This window comes from Homo sapiens, chromosome 11 (assembly GCF_000001405.40).
Source record: "Homo sapiens chromosome 11, GRCh38.p14 Primary Assembly".
Classification (NCBI taxonomy): Eukaryota; Metazoa; Chordata; class Mammalia; order Primates; family Hominidae; genus Homo; species Homo sapiens.
The window spans coordinates 108,325,735-108,343,134 of record NC_000011.10 but is presented as its reverse complement, the minus strand read 5'-3'; the positions used below and the strand labels follow the sequence as shown (position 1 = coordinate 108,343,134).

The 17,400-nt window shown below is 36.4% G+C and overlaps 2 protein-coding genes across 34 annotated transcripts in view, besides 1 other annotated feature; one reads left to right on the top strand and one right to left on the bottom strand.

Annotated features, from left to right (window-relative positions):
* ATM (ATM serine/threonine kinase) overlaps positions 1–17,400 on the bottom strand; it is a 146,036-nt gene that overhangs the window by 25,968 nt on the left and 102,668 nt on the right. For all 15 annotated transcript variants that reach the window (XM_011542840.4, XM_047426977.1, XM_006718843.5 and 12 more), the window contains 10 exons: positions 16,910–17,077; positions 15,377–15,490; positions 13,897–14,114; positions 12,714–12,921; positions 11,578–11,691; positions 11,098–11,256; positions 10,235–10,373; positions 9,167–9,249; positions 8,026–8,166; positions 7,174–7,290 (listed from right to left, as the gene is read on the bottom strand). In XM_011542840.4, the coding sequence (XP_011541142.1) occupies positions 7,174–7,290; positions 8,026–8,166; positions 9,167–9,249; positions 10,235–10,373; positions 11,098–11,256; positions 11,578–11,691; positions 12,714–12,921; positions 13,897–14,114; positions 15,377–15,490; positions 16,910–17,077 (1,461 nt within the window). The remainder of the gene's footprint in view (positions 1–7,173; positions 7,291–8,025; positions 8,167–9,166; positions 9,250–10,234; positions 10,374–11,097; positions 11,257–11,577; positions 11,692–12,713; positions 12,922–13,896; positions 14,115–15,376; positions 15,491–16,909; positions 17,078–17,400) is intronic.
* C11orf65 (chromosome 11 open reading frame 65) overlaps positions 1–17,400 on the top strand; it is a 161,363-nt gene that overhangs the window by 126,747 nt on the left and 17,216 nt on the right. For 8 of the 19 annotated variants that reach the window (XM_047426461.1, XM_047426467.1, XM_047426463.1 and 5 more), the window contains one exon: positions 7,843–7,915. The exons of 3 other annotated variants lie outside the window; for them this stretch is intronic. In XM_047426461.1, coding sequence (XP_047282417.1) covers positions 7,843–7,915 — 73 coding nt within the window. Of the gene's footprint in view, positions 1–2,770; positions 2,981–7,842; positions 7,916–11,567; positions 11,937–17,400 lie in introns of those variants that run through there. 8 more of the 19 variants (XM_047426476.1, XM_047426477.1, XM_011542643.3 and 5 more) reach the window with 2 other exon arrangements.
* Positions 4,006–4,206: a silencer, noted in NCBI's record as "peak1451 fragment used in MPRA reporter construct". NCBI's record gives its function as "represses an SCP1 promoter by STARR-seq MPRAs in K562 erythroleukemia cells {active_cell/tissue: K562}" and the evidence as "EXISTENCE:reporter gene assay evidence [ECO:0000049][PMID:32103011]".

Sequence of the window (17,400 nt, the reverse complement as noted above, 5' to 3'; positions counted from 1 at the left end):
CATTTTTTTTCAAGTTGTATTAATATTTCTCTGTCCATAGAAGACAAAGCTCCTTGGAGGAAACCAATCGGAAATAAACTTAAGCTCAAAGAATATAATTTTCCAGCCTGCTGCCTAGATGTTTGAGAGCCTGCCCATCACTCAATCCCCACGATTCTCTGAGAGGTCACTCCTGTTAACTATACTCACCGTCATCTGTCATTAATCCATACTTAGTTTGTCCAGTTAGGAGAGGAATTAACTGCTTTCCTTAAAATTTTAGTATCAATTAAATTTGGGGAGTTTCACTTGGAAATTATTACCCATGAATGTGGTCTCAATTTTAGTGTAACTTCATTATTGAAATTACATGTACTCTTGCTTTAGTCTTATTATCTTCACAGAGAGAAAATGTACTCCTAAATATAAAATAAGCAACTTTACTAGGAAAGTTTTTTAAAATTATATTATAAACATACATAAAGTATAGAAAATGATATTAACAGATACCCTTTTATCCATTAAACAGCTTTATCAAATCTAGGATTTTCTCACATTTGCTGGGGAAGAGATGAAGCTCCCCCTTGTGTGCTTCACTGACCCTAAGTCCCTCCCACCATCAAGATGACTGTTAGCTGGTTTATCATGTTCTTGTATTTTTTGGTATATTTTTATTTCAAAGCTATATGTACACAAATAGTTGTAAGTATTAAGTAAAAAAATTAGGATACTATATGTATATTTCTGTAATTTGGTTTTTTATTCAATACTATTTTATCCTAACTATGTGAGCATATTTAACTCTACATCATTCATTTTAACAGCTATATACTACATAAATACAACAGTTATCCAATCTGCATATTAACATTTACATTGTTTCCACATTTCCATGAAATACTGCTGCAATGAAATAAACTACTCGTGAACATATTTCAGTTTCTCTAGGCAGGGGTGTCCAATCTTTTGGATTCCCTGGGCCACACTGGAAGAATTGCCTTGGGCCACACATAAAATACACTAACACTAATGATTGCTGATGAGCTAAAAAAGAAAAAAAAACTGCAAAAAAAATCTCATAATGTTAAGAAAGTTTACAAATTTGTGTTGGGCTGCACTCAAAGCCATCCTGTAGGCTGCATGTGGCCTGCAGGCTGTGGGTTGGACAAGTCTGCTCTAGGGTATATACCCAGGAATTTAACAGCTGAGCCAGAGATACATCTTCACCTCGGTTAACCAGATATTGCCAAATAACTATTCAAAGTGACTGTACCGATTTATATACCCACCAGTAGAGTTATTCCATAACTTTCGCAATACTTAATATTGTCAGGCTTTTTATATTTTGCTAATCTGAGGGTAATAGTATTTCACTGTGGTTTTAATTTGTATTTTCCAGATTACTAGAAAAGTTGAATATCATTGTATTCTTCATATAAATCCCTTGTTCTTTATATTAAAATGATCCTTTTTGTTCTAATTAACATTATTATATTCGTTTTCTCAGCTGGTCACTCGTCCTTATGGTGTCTTTAGTTCTATACATTTTTAAATTTTAAGTTTCTCACATATGTTGAACTGTTTTGTGTCTTAAGGAAGCATTTGATTAATTTATTAACATTTATTTGTTGGGGGCGTATTACATGTTACACACAGGGCTAGGGCACTGAGAACAGAGTGGGAAAAAGGCAGATGAAGACTATGCCCTCATAAAGTTTCATTCTGGTGAGGAACATATATCCTAATAAACATTTCATAATATTAGATAATAAGTATAAGAGAACAAAACTTAAGTTTAAAAAAGAGAGAAAGTGGGTAATGGCAACATGGTCGGAGGCCTTTCTGAGGGTAACACTGCAGCAGAAGCCTGAATGAAGTAAGGGAGTGACTGGTGTGAAGATCTGAGGGAAAAGCATTGCAGGCAGAAGCAGAAAAGCCCTGAGGCAGAAACAAATTGGTGTGTCTAAGCAATTGCAAAAGACCAGGTAAGTCAGGTGGAGATGACTCATCTATACAAGCAGAAAGTGAGAGGAGTGTGAGGAGAGTGGTAGATAAGGCTGGAGGGAGAACAGCAGAGGCAGATCACTTAACTTAGAGAATTGTCATTCAGGGATAATGTGAACTCATGTGGGGTTCTGAACAGGAAAATGGAATACAGCTGGCCCTCTGCAGCTGCAGATTCAACCAACTGTGGATCAAAAATATTCACCAAAAAAACCTCAATAAAAACAATACAATAAAAAATAAAAATTTTAAAAACCAATACAGTACAACTATTTACACAGCATTTACACTATATAAGGTATTTTAAGTAACCCAGAGATGATTTACAGTACATGGGAGGAGGTTCATAGGTTATAGGCAAATGCTTCATACACCACTGTATATAAGGGACTTGATTTTAGTATCCACAGGGGGCTCTGGAAACAATCCCCCACAGATACCGAATAAGAGTACTCTGTCTTAGACAATTTTAAAAGGATCACTCTAACAGTTATTAATAAAACTAGCTTTGGAAAACCAAGAGCAGAAGTAAACTGTTGGTTTAAACTCTAGTATCTACAGAGATGTGACTGCAGAAGTAGGGTGGTAATAGCAGGGGTGGTAAAGTGACCTGCCTGGAAGTTGACCAATAGGACTTGCTGATGGAATAGACAAGACTTGAGAAGAGAGAAACAAGAGTTTAAAATGACTCCCATTACTTGGTGACATTTAGGAATTTTTGTGAATTGTTTTAGGAGTGATGACAGTATTGTGAGAATGGTTTTTTAAAACAGACATTATCTTACAGATCTACACACTGAAATGTTTACAGATGAAATGATATGACATCTTGCTTTAAAATAATATTGGAAGGAAGTTGGTGGAAAGAGAAATGGAACAAAATTGTCCATGAGTTGGTAACTGCTGAAACTGAGTGACAAGTACAAGGGGGTTCATGATGTTATTGTCTCCTTTTGTATGTTTGAAATTTTCCATAATAATAAAAGTAAAAAGAAAATAAAGCCTCTAGGTTTCAGTCTGAGCAACCAAGTGAAGGTGGTACCATCTCTAACAATACACTTTGCATTATAATTATGTTTATTATGTTTATTTTCCCTATTAGAATGTGAACACCTTAAGGACTAGGGCAATGTTTTACTACTTCTATAGACCTAGCACTCAGTAGAGTATCTAACCCAACGTAGGTATATAAATTCACATTTATTGAATAAACAAATGAATGATCTCATGGCCTTTCTGATTTCCCTTCCTGCCTAATAAGTATTCTACATGCCCTCTCCCCTGCTGTCTTTGAGTTAGCTGTGACCCCTGATGCTTGATCACATTAACATTCTTGCAGTGTAGTGTACTCTGTCTAAAGTCTCTTTTACATTGATTACTCTCTATCAATATCTAGCTCTGGGGCGGGGAGGGGGAATCAAACCCTTATTTTTTGTTGAGAGATTGATACAGAAAGGAATGGGTTGGCTTTTTTCTACCTCAGCTTAGAGTCTCAACTGTGATGTTGGTTGTTGGAGAAAGAGCTGAATTTGAATTTCAAAAAGCAAATGACAGTGTTTTCTCTGGTACTAAAGACTCTCTGGAAGATTTCAACTGGGTATCTGGGTATTTTGTGTGAATACCACAAAAAAGGACTGATGACTATTTTCTCAGTTCTCTGAAAGTACACAGCTGATATCATCCTAGATACACAGAAATGAAGTTAATTCATTATATTCAGTGAATGTCTTAAGATATTATGGCTTCTCTCCCCAGAACCATGACTGAGATAGATGCTCTGAAATATGCATGACAAGGAATAAAAATTATTTATTGGCACAAGGCAGGATGATCAGGTTAAGTGCAAAGCTCCTTTCAGCACTTAAATATTGTTTATTAGAGACTTGCCTTTTAGAAAACAAATCCTCTGACACCTAAGATTTTAGACTTGTTCAGTATACTTTGTAACAATGCATAGTTTTGGTGGAGAAAAATGGGGCCAGCCACCCTAATTCTGGTTAATGTTAAGGGCTATGTCTGAGCTATCAACATACACAATAAGAACTGTCTTCATTTCCATCTGATTCTCTCTGACAAGAGATATCTGGCATGCCTCAATATACAAGTCTCTCCTTTTGAGGTTGCACAATGACACAAGGTTTGTATACCAAGATCTAGTTCCAGGTAGTCAATGTATGCTCTTGTTGACACAATGACCACAGAAGACCTGAATCTCAGGATTGGGAATGACTCTACAGATGACTGGACTGGGTAGACTACTTCGCTGTAGTCTAGGGAACCTTAACTAAAGGCAAGAACACTTAGTTTAACATAATGATGACACAACTTTCACATTCTTGGAGTAATCTCAAAATAACATTACTGGCTTATTGTCGTAATTCTAAGAAATAGTCAAACCTAAACTGTTGTGTTTACAGGTTTTACTTTAATATTGAGATGTATAACATTAAATAATTAATTATCTGGGTTACCCCCCAACCCCACTTTTTTTTTTTTAAGACAAGTTCTTGCTCTGTTGTCCAGACTGGACTGCAGTGGCATGATCACAGCTCATGCACAGCCCCAAACTCCTGATTTCAAGCAATCCTCACGCTTTAGCTTCTTGAGTAGCTGGGACTATAGGTGCATGCCATCATGCCTGGCTAAATTTTTAATTTTTTGTAGAGATGAGGTCTTGCTGTGTTGCCCAGGTTGGTTTCAAACTCCTGGCCTCAAGTGATCCTCCTGCCTTGGCCTCTCAAAGTGCTGAGATTACAGGCATGAGCCACTGCATCTGGCCTCTAGACATTTTTCCTTTTTTGAGAAGAAGTCTCGGTCTGTCACCCAGGCTGGAGTGCAGTGGTGTGATCTCGGCTCAACTGCAACCTCTGCCATCCGGGTTTAAGTGATTCTCTCACCTCAGCCTCCCAAGTAGCTGAGACTAGAGGCATGTGCCACCACGCCTGGCTAATTTTTTTGTATTTTTAGTAGAGATGGGGTTTGGCCATGTTGGCCAGGCTGGTCTCAAACTCCTGGCCTCAAGTGATCCGCCCACCTCGGCCTCCTGAAGTACTGGGATTACAGGCGTGGGCCACCATGCCCGGCTAGAAATCTTAATGGAATAACTTATATGGTAAAATAGTTTTGTGTGAAAACTAGCTGTTGAAAAAGTCATAAGGTAGAGATGAAAGTTCAGTAATTTCTGCTTTCAAGATATTCTAGGTCAGGCATTTGCTTTTTTGTGCTTTACAGCAATGAACTTTGGAGGTTCAATTGTGTATCTGCTTGGAAATCTTAGCTACTTTCTGAGAGTTCAGGAGGTGCTCCTATAGCCCATACTTTTGTAACCCAATTCTTCACCTATTATCTTTGTCATCTAAAAGTTTGGTATTTAGAGCATAAACAATTTCCTTTCATTCACATTACAGAATATCTAGTCTCTAAAAACTTCTTAGCAATCTCTACATTATCTGTCAGATAGGAGATAGCTAATAGATCATCAACTTTGTTCTAAAATGAAGTCAGGTCAATAGATGGTAGAACAAGTAGACTGGTGGGTCTCAAAGTGTTGTCCCTGGACCAGTGCAGCATCAACATAACTGGTATCTTGCTAGAAACGCACATTCACAGGTTCTACCCTAATCTTGCTGAATTAGAAATTCTAAGAATGGGGATCAGAAATCTGTGTTTTTAACAAACTCTCTAAGTGACTATGATGTCTGCTAAAGCTTGAGTACCAATGATCTTAACCACATCAAAGAAATCCCTCTACAGAGTAGCCTTTATAGAGCAACTTTTGCTTTTTGCATTCATCGAGGATTAATTAGCTTTTTAAACTGCTAATGGAAAACATCTATTATGTTAGTTATTATTGCAGAAGGTTCCATGTCACAAATTTCTCACAAACTTGAAGGCTACGGAAAAAATTGTGCTTTCCTTAATGAACAGTATGCCCCTCTCCCAACCAATAAGTTTTATATTTAGTCTCTGAAAGCAGTTAAGAAGCTCAAAACCAAGTTCTGCTTTTTATTACAATAGCCTAACTCAAGCAGCATTTTGGAGGGTAGATCTAATTTATTCTTCTTCACTCCCCTATTTAGGGCTTTTAATTTAGCCATTATTTTAAAAATAAAACACGTTCATAGTGGAAAACTAGAAATATATAAAAAAGCACATGTCACCCATAGTCCCTGTTACAACATTTATAGAAGGAGAAAGTTTAAAAATGAGGTACAGGAATGAAATCACAAAAGACAAACCTATGGAAAATAGGCCCTTCAAAATAAGGATTTATTGTTATTTCTAAACTGGTTAAATGAATAATTAATATAAGAGTCAAAGATGATCAGCTCATAGAATGTGACTGAGGATTGTCTTCTCAGGCAAATAGCTAGAGGAAATGTAAGTGGGTACACTCCCATTGAGAGTAATTTGGCAATATGTACCAGATTACAGATGCATGTATCCTCTAACCCAGCAATCCAACTTTTGGAAATCCATGCTACAAATTTGCCTGCGCATGTATGAAATTTGTATGTTCAAGGTTATTCACTACAATACAGCGTTGTTTGTAGCAGCAAAAGACTGAAAACAACACAAATGCCCATCGATAAGGACTTGTATAAAAAACTACATACATACACACAATGCAGCTGTTAAAAAATGAGAAAGATTTCTGTGACATATTGTTGAGTAGAAAAAAAAGGAAAAAATACTTCAGTTGACTATAAGAAACACCTAACTATAATTAACATTAATAAATACTTTTTACAAAGAAAATAAATCTTTATTATTTGGTCCTTCACAGAAAACATTTGTAGACTCCTGGTCCAAATAATGGCATCTTCTTCTTCTTCTTCTTTTTTAAACGGGATCTTGCTGTGTTGCTCAGGCTGGACTGGGGCTCACTGCAGAGTTTGAGCTCACTGCAGCCTCAAACTCCTGGACTCAAGTGATCCTCCCACCTCAGCCTCCCATGTAGCTAAGGGACTACAAGCACATGCCATCATCTCTGGCTTTTTTTTTTTTTTTAACTTTTTGTCAAGATGGGGTCTCACTATGTTGCTGAGGCTGGTCTCGAACTCCTGGCCTCAAGCAATCCTCCCACCTTGGCCTCCCAAAGCATTATGAATATGGGCATGAGCCACTTCACCCAACCAAATGGCATCTTTTATATGTTTTTGGTGAACTAACAGAAGTACAAATAGTTACCTTATAAGTACAGATAGTTAATTTCCTCTTCCTAGTTTCCGTGTTTCTCTGCAGTAATGTATTACACATCTGGAAGACCTGTTGCATGACAGCATCTTGTCTCAGGTCATCACGGCCCTTCAGAATAATTAAGCATGAATAAACAAGTACAGTTTATTTTATTATAAAAACACAGAGTCATCTGAGAATAGCAAAGGGCACTCAAACCAATCTGAGCATCTGTGCACCTCTTGACAGTCTCCCAAATAATTAAATACCTACTGCCATTCTTTCATTTAGAATAAGCTACAACATTTACACTGATTTAGAAAGTTTCCCCTCGCTACTTCTGTAATTAGATTAACTGGAAGTCCCCCCTAGGAAGGCATACTGCAAACACCTGAGTAAAACAGCACTGTGTCTTTCCACCACTCCCCAGTAGGACCCAAAGAGCTCGTCAGCAAATGGTAAGGGAAGAATGCTCTCCCTTTTTGGTACATTAAATAGCACTTGGCACAGTACGAGACCCGGTATACTGATGCAAAGGACGTCAACTTGCACTATTCAAGGAAATAAGAGACAGACACCAAAGTATTTTTTTTCATAAGAAGCAACCTCACTGTACATGTCTGTACATGTTAATGGTATTCTTTTACTTGAATCAACCATATAATAATGATTGTCTTTCAGAGACACAAAAAAAATGGAGAAAAGCCTGGTTCTAGAAAATAATGCATTTCTACTCTACAAATCTTCCTCATTTGTAAGTATTCAAAATAAAGACAAAATCCCAAATAAAGCAGAAAGAAAATATGAACTAAAAATTTTCATCACTAAAACTCTAAGGGCTAAGCCAGAGAAGGGAAGGCTCACCTTAACAAGCTGTCTCCTCTCCTTGCCATCGGAACCTACACAATCTATTATTTTTGGTAAATTTACACCTCCTGCTAAGCGAAATTCTGCTTTAAATGACTGTATAGTCACCAGATTTCCATATTCTCCTGTGTGGTCCACCTAATAAAAGTATAAACATGATTGATAATAGGTCAGATACACTATTTGCACTTAAAGAAAAATACATTATAAATGGCAATTTTAATATTAAACAGAGAAACAAATGACGATGTGATAGTGGTTAAGAACTACAACTTTAGGCCGGGTGTGGTGGCTCACGCTCGTAACTTTAACTACTGTTTCATCAAAGATTCACTAATATATGTAAAGTCATCTGAGAAATAACTCCTCACGAAAACATAAAGTAAATTTTGGAAAACAGTAGAAGGAGTTTTCTGGGTTATAACTGCTAAATCTGGCATTTTAAGGAAACATTCAGCGAAATCACCTAGCTGATATAGCTAGAAAAACAGCAGTTAATCCACATGATACAGCTACATTTCAAATCAAGTAACTAGATACTAAGCACTAAACTGCAAAATGAAAAGAAAGACAATGTATTTAAGATGATCATTTTCTAAACTTATAACCCTTATTACATATATCCCTGCCCACATGAAATTACTTCCATTATTTCTTGCAATAAAAGAATATTAGAACAGAGCTAAGTGTATCATGCATATGAAGTCAGCTTAATATTATAATAATACATACTATATTACTTAATACTGTGATATATCACAGCCAATACATTTTACTGCACATAGAATTTTTAAAAACAATATATGACAATTGGAACCTTCCTTGCCAAGTCAAAAATTAATCTTGGCATAAGCACACGGAAACTCTCCTTCTGGCCAATGAAAGTAACAGTCTATAGACCTTCATAAGAAAGATGGGAGGTGTAGAACAGAAGGCAATGGAAAAGAAAGCAGGAGAAGCTTTTGAGTATTTTAGGGCTTGGGCAAAGGAAATATAATACTGAGAAATTATAGGTTGAAACATATGAAATTTGCCAATATTTAACCAATTTTGACCTACATAAAAATACTATTTCAAATGGTTCAATCTAATAAAAAAAATTTAGTTTAAAAAAAATCAAGAGTTAATTGCAAATTACCTTAATTTCCATAGTAGGGACAACAACATCTTCTAAATTCTTAAGTTTAGTAATTGGCTGGTCTGCTGGAATATTTATGCCTTCTGTATTTAAAAATGAAGAGATTTTAGTGACAAACTGAGGAACAGCATTGAAGGTCAAGCAGGAATAGTCAGCAGATACCACTGGCCCCAACTTGTTGCTAATCTGTGGTTCAGGCTCTGATTGAGAAATGAAGACTCTGGGCTTTGGCCACTATGCAGCTCAGAGTCAAAGCTCAACAGTGGTTAATGTAGCTTCAAGTAAATTTGCAGGTTACCTGACAAGGGTAACTAGACCAGATTCCACCTGAGGAACCAGACTAAACATCTTAAAATAATTACGTAATAGTTTGCATAGTACATAGATAACATACTCCTGTCACATTACCATTAAATGCAACTAAAAGACATGTCAATACTTTTTGTTTGCTTAGAGAAACAATATGTGAAGTCCCATTCGTTTTCAAGTAATAAGAATTTAAACTTGAAGATATGATTCTGAATAGAAAAAAATACAATTATTAAAGTATGGGGAGATACTTAGAAGCATACTTAGAGACTAGTCACAAAACCAAAGATTATATAGCAGCTTGTAATTATTTGAACTGACACAGCAAGAATAATAATTAAATAATGGCATTTTAGCACCTATGGAAGAAATGGTAAAGCCTTTTTTTGTTTTTAAGTCCCAGGGCAGTTTTAGTAACCACATCGTTTAAAAAAACTTTTGAGGCTAGAAATGTTCAGTTATTCAATTATTTTAATAGACTTGCCTCTATTATGCAATTCTCTGTAATAAGTATGTATGCCAGAAGATTATCAGAAGAAATCAAATAATTAATTTAGTGTAGTCACCTATTACCAGTTCTATTAAGAGATATTAAGTGAAAAAGTAACCAGGGAATGCTGAAGCCATCAGATATAAATTAAGCTTTTGGATTACGTTTGTGATTTTAAGCAGATTTACTTATTAGGCTCTATAACTAATATATCTCTACAGAGAGTAACACAGCAAGAAAGTAACGTTTCTTCTTTAAAAAAAACATACTTCTCTGAGTCTTCCACTGAGTGGCATCTAAGTTTGCTAATATAATATAAGCATCACAAAGTGCCTCAACACTTCTGACCATCTGAGGTCTCCTACTTCTGATAGTACATATTATTCTATTTGCAGCCTCTGTTCGATCCTATTAATAAAAAACAAAAAACATTACATAAGGAACTACCCAACATTTAAACTTCTCAGAGTTAGAAAAACAAAGAGAAAAACAGAATTTATGCACAAATCTAGACAATGGAATGATTATAATTCCTCAGATACAAACAAAACAGTCATAAATGAAATACATCAAAGATACATACTCTCGTCAATGACTTAGGTGCCTTTCAAAATCTATTGTTTCACTTTGCCAACTGCTTTGAGGAAAAAAGTAAACTACTACTGGTATCTCCTATGCTTTGACAAATATTAAGGAATTTTGAACCAATTTTAATTAATTAATTAATTAATTAATTTGAGACAGAGTTTCGCTCTTGTTGCCCAGGCTGGAGTGCAATGGCGCAACCTTGGCTCACTGCAACCTCCGCCTCCCGAGTTCAAGTGATTCTCCTGCCTCAGCCTCCCGAGTAGCTGGGACTACAGGTGCCCACCACCATGCCCAGCTGTTTTTTGCATTTTTAGTAGAGACAGGGTTTTGCTGTGTCGGTCAGCCAGGATGGTCTCGAACTTCTGACCTCAAGTAATCCACCCGCCTCAGCCTCCCAAAGTGCTGGGATTACAGGCGTGAGCCACCGTGCCAGCCTTGAACCGATTTTAGATGGCATCTTAATAACACAAGATTTTAAAAAGAAATATTCTAGGAAAGACTGAATATCACACTTCTAAAAGGTACGTATGTTTAATCCAAATACCTCATCAAGCTGAGAGCTTTGTTTAGGCACATTTTTAGTTATTCTGCTTCTTCTGGCTACCTCTGGTTTAGTCAGAAATTCATCTCTGTTTGCATTTGCTAAGGCCAGTATAATAAACAAAGTGTGATGGGGGTGATCCATTGAAATTCTAGAGATTAGCTGTAAGAAAAGAACTATTAGATTTATGCAAATAAACAAAAAAATATAATCCATATTTTTCATTTTGCTTAACATTAAAATGTGTATTACTGTCTAGATACTGCAGTGGGTAGAGCGTGTATGCCTGCATGTGTGAGAAAAAGGCAGAGGCCTATGAGGAATTAGAGAGAGAAAATGAGTAACTTATGTGATGTGAGAAGACAAAAAATACAAAATTTTGTATTTCCATTTCTTAGAGGGAATGGTATATATACTTTATATAATATATAGTAATAATAGAATAAAAATAATTATTGTGGTTTGATTTTCAGGTTTACTTACATTATTGAGGACTTCATGAAATCCTAGGCCTCCCATCATCTTGGTCCCCATTCTAGCAGCCAATTGGTACATAAGAGGCAAAAATTTATATGTTGGAATCTTCATTCCGTCTCTCTACCATTAAAAAAAAGACACAAAATTAAGAAACAAGGTATTTCAAATATTCTCACATCTAAGCAAGTAAGTTATTTTAAGACAGTGCTCCTCTATTAGCACAAGTGGTTAACAAAACTTCACTAACTATATTGTTTTCCTTCATTTCTTTTCTTATCTGAAGGTCTTTCTAATGGGTACTCTAGATTAATGCATTGGTAAATCAAAATATTTGGTCCTAAATTAAACTGGATTCAGAACTAGAATACTTGGTACTGTTTATATTCCAAAAAATCTAAGGAAGACAAATGTGATCTGAGTGTGACTGTGATCTTGATTCCTGAGAAGTCAGTGTACAATAAAATGAAGTAATTGCTTTTCCCCATAGGCCAAAAGTAATATTTAGTGTATACTACAGCAGAGATTGACTGTATCTATTATGAGTCTTATTATTTTCCTGCAGGAGAAACATTTTATCTCTAACCTTCAAATTGACTAACAATATATAGCTTGTCAACTTAAATTTAATATTAGGTGTCATCACTATAATCTAAGGTTTTCAAAGAAAAACTTATACAATACTGCTGTCTTGACATTTTCTGAAAAATATATTTTCTCTACTTACAAAAGTAATTTATTGTAAAAATCCCATATTTCTGCAGCAGGGGGAAAACCCACCTGTGATCACATCATCTTTAACTGCTTTCTAAATCCTCCAATCTAATGCCCCATTCTAGACCCTCTCCTATGGTAACTGCAAAGACATAGGACCAAGCTAAATTCTATCACCTCCACACAAACTTGCATCATTTACAGCTTGTCAGCTTATATAATACAAAGGAACTTTTGTAGAAACAAGACTAGAACTTGTAAATAATCCTAAATATGGATCAAAGTTTAGAAAACTACAAAATGCTACTTATGTGTAGAGCACTGGACCAAGTGCTAGGAATACAAAGAGGTATACACGATTCCTGACATCAAGGGGCTTATGTCTAAGTTTTTCAAGCACAGGGTAGAATATTGGGCTGAGTAACACTTGCCTTCATCATGCCATTGACTTCAGAAACTCCAGAATTTTCAAGCCAGAGGGAACAAAGTCGGAATACCCACATATCATGTTCTTCTCCACTTAATAAGCAGTTGATATAATTTTCAACTGCTTTACATAAGAAGCGTTTACGATCCTCTTTCAGTGCACGCAGGGCTAATTCATCCAACTCCAGCTCTCGCTGAACCTTTACTGTGTATCTTGCATAGAATAATTAAGGTAAAACACAAAAGCCATGAACTTTAACAGAACTACAAAATCACACATGATATACAACATTTAATGAAAAAAGTTGGGTTTTTATCCCAGGGAAAAAAGCAAACTTCTAAGGATTATAAAGGGAATAAACTTACTTTTGTCTTAACTGTGCAATTCACACACCTTCCTAAGCATCAAAGGACAAAGGGGACTCTCCCCAAGCTATTTAGCTAACTTACACCTCTGCTTACACTAAAATATACAGATTCAAGACAGGCTTAAATAAAGGGATTTAATTACATCAAAATAGGTAACTTTTGTAATTAATTTCAATATCTATCTCCTTTTCCACTATGATACCAACAAACAAACCAAAAAAGCAAAACAGAAAGCTAATATCTATATTCTCCACAATGAACTTAGAAGCAGAGCATGAATTATTCACAAAAGAACACGTCAATATCTTACATACTAATTTGTGATTAACTACAGTAGGACCAAGACAGACAGGGCACAGTGCCTCACACCTGTAATCCCAGCACTTTGGGCGGCCAAGGTGGGCAGATCGTTTGAGCCCATGAGTTTGAGACCAACCTGGGCAACATGGCAAAACCCCATCTCTACAAAAAATACAAAAATTAGCCAGGTATGGCGTGCACCTGTAGCCCCAGCTATTTCGGGGGCTCAGGGGGAGAATCAATTGAGTCCAGGAGGTCGAGGTTGCAGTGAGCTGGAGTACAGTGATCACGCCACTGTACTCCAGCCTGGGTGACAGAGTGAGACCTTGTCTCAAAAAAAAAAACAAAAAACAAAAACCGAAAAGAACCCAAAAGACCAAGATAATCTATATATAGTTAAGCCGACCTTTAGAGCTCAAAACTATATCAGATAAAAAGACCAAGTCACTCTTTCTATGCAAAAACACTCACTCAGTTAACTGGTGAACATAAAATTGTCACTTGTAGAAACCTAGTTACCTGTTTGTCTGAATTTTATGTTCCCTAAGGAGACCTACTTCCTCTTTGGCTCTTTTCAGGAGAGCTTGCTTGTTTTCAAATTCCGATGATTTCATGTAGTTTTCAATTCTTTGGTATTGAGTATCTGAAAACCGGGCTAATGAGAGAAATGCCTTCATTTTTCCATTTCTTAGCTCATCACTACTTTCTCCATCATAATTTCCAGCAACTTCTACTGCCTTCAAGAAAACACAACCAATTTAAATTATATTTACAAATACTAAATACATCTAAAGAATCACTCAAATTAAGGTAATACACTAAAATTTAACTTATATACATATAAAAGCTAGCTAAATTATATGAACTATTGCAAACTTGTCCAACCCACGGCCCATGGGCCGCATGTGGCCCAGGACGGCTTTGAATGTGGCCCAACACAAATTCGTACATTTTCTTAAAACATTATGAGATTTCTTTTGTGATTTTTTTTAAGCTCATTAGCTATCATTAATGTTAGTATATTTTATGTGTGGCCCAAGGCAATTCTTCTTGCAATGTGGCCCAGGGAAGCCAAAAGATTGGACAGCCCTGAACTATGGTATTTTCTTGACTTTTCAAAACAACTTTGACAGTGTAGAAATAACCCAGACAGCTAATACTTGTAAAGAACTCTGCAAAAACAGAGAACTTTATAAAATTTAAAGACAATCAGGCTGGGTGTGGTGGCTCAAGCCTGTAATGCCAGCACTTTGGGAGGCCGAGGCAGGTGGATCACTTGAGGTCAGGAGTTCGAGACCAGACTGGCCAATGTGGCGAAACCGTCTCTACTAAAAATAAAAAATATTAGCCGGGTGTGGTGGCACACTCCTGTAGTCCCAGCTACTTGGGAAGCTGAGGCAGGAGAATCGCTTGAACCCAGGAGGCAGAGGTTGCAGTGAGCCGAGATTGCGCCACTGCACTCCAGCTTGGGCGACAGAGAGAGACTTCATCTCAAAGAAAAGAAAAGAAAAGAAAGACAATCGCATCATGTGTTTCATGTTACACTTATTTAGTGAGGTAACTATTTCCAAAATTAGTGAATCTAAAGGAATAAGAGGGAGAAACAGGAAAGTCAAAGGGGCTAGTATATTGAAGCCTTTACTTGTGGGTGGCTGGGCTAATGAAGAGCAAGGGCTGACTTGCCTATTCTTAATCAGTTATTTTTGTAGATGCATAAATGAAGAAATGATCAGAAGCAACCTGCTGAAAGGGTAGCTGGTAGTGGAGGTAGGAAGGAGGAAGAAGAGATACTATACTTGGGCTTACTTTCAAAATTGGCTGCTTTGTTTTGTAACAATGTTTCACTCCACCCTAGAGACTATACAGAGCTACAACAGTAATAATATATAGAAAAATAAAACCATACTTTTATTTGCTTTGGAAATATATTGATCTTGATGAAAAGATGAAGCATATTCATGCTAAGTAACTATCTTAAGGGTTGCTCCAAAAATCTTACCTTTTCTAGATAGGTCTGCATGATGACCGCAGGATTTTCTAAGCACGTTTCTGCTAACCAGTTGCCACAAACCCTCAGACATTCTGTGTATGTAAGTTTTAGGCTGGGATTGTTCTGTATAAGAAAGGCAAAATCTTAAAATATAATGCATTACCATGACTGTACCCAACTGCCCTTCATGTACGGGGAAAAAAGCAGGTTAAAAATGTTTTTCCTTGGTGGGTGGGAAAAAAAAAGTTTTTCCTCATCTGCTTTTGCCATACAACTATTTTAATAATCCCATGTAGGAAATGATCATCCTCTGTTTATTATTATTATTGCCATTATTGGAGCAAGTCACATTTATTGAGTACTTATATATGTCAGACACTTTGTAAAGGCTTTATATATATTAACTCATTTAATTCTCACAAGAATCCTATTAAATAAGTACTATTATTACCCCAATTTGCAGATTAGAAAACTGAGGTACAAGGAAGTTGGGTAACTCCAGACAGCACATACTTCAGGGCCAATACTATTAAGCAATATTTACACATATCATATTGGCACTCAGTGCTTTGGTATAATGATTTCTCTAATAACAGAAGATGCTATACAATGAGTGCCCAACATCAAAAAGTACAGTAAAGGCCGGGCGTGGTGGCTCACGCCTGTAATCCCAGCACTTTCAGAGGACAAGGCGGGTAGATTGCCTGAGCTCAGGAGTTCGAGACCAGTCTTGCCAACATGGTGAAACCCCATCTCTACTAAAAATACAAAAAAATTAGCTGGGCATGGTGGCATGTGCCTGTAATCCCAGCTACAAGGGAGGCTGAGGCAGGGGAATTGCTTGAACCAGGGAGGTGGAGGTTGCGGTGAGCCGATGTCGTACCACTGCACTCCAGCCTGGGTGACAGAGCAAGACTCCGTCTCAAAAAATAAATAAATAAATAAATAATAAAGCACAGTGAGCTGATATTCACTAAGCAGGTACATGTCTGTGGGACACCACTGTAGACAAACCTTGGGGACACCAATGCCTCTACTTTATCCAGTGTGTATGCTGGGTTTACAGCTGAAGTAGCAACATAAGTTTGCAAAAACCAACAGGTAATGTTAGATAAAATATTAGATGTGATATTTTCAAAGCATTTGGATTGACAACCTAATTGTCCCAACTTGCTTTTATTTTCTAATTTAGTTCTCTCATTCATTTCCTCTTCCCTTTTTTCACTTGTCATTTCAAATTTAGAGTAGCTATTTCATTCATTTCCCACATACCTTTCTTGAATTCTATAGGAAGTTAAAGGCTTAATACTGGGATATATTAAATGAATCGACCACATGATGGACTGATAGAATTGTGATATATAGGAAAAAGTTTCTAAACTTCATTTACAAATTAATTTTCAAGACTAGTTTTACAATATCTTGTTAATAAATTACTAATTTCAAGGCTCTAATAAAATTGTTATTAAAAATATTTTAAAGTACATTTGTGTTTTTTTAAATAACAGTAAAACACTAATCCAGCCAATAAAAAAAACAAACCGCTGCACAGCTGGCATCCAACTTCTTGATCATTTGCTTGAGAATACTCAGGGCAAGACTCTGCTCCTTTTTTGCCCAGAATACTTGTGCTTCTTCCAGCTGCCACTCAGAGACTCCACAGCTAACTGAATTGTACTGTTTAATTTGAAATATTGCCCTTTCAGGGAGCTGAAATGAAAATGACATATGGGAATAAATACTTTTACTACTGATACTACTACCATGAATAATAATAATAATGAAAGCAGCAACTACCATTCATTGAGGACTTAACTACTTGTCAGGGACTATCTTAAGGACCTCTCTGTCTGCATGACATCTCCCCACCCCACGTCTGCCTATCTGTCTGTCTGTCTGTCTCTCTCTATATGTATGTATGTGTATCTGTGTGTACATACACACAGTATATAAAATCACTGAATTGTTATCAATATAGTAAGTTACGTATCTTCTCATTTTATAACCAGGAAATTGAGGTTGAGAAAAGATTA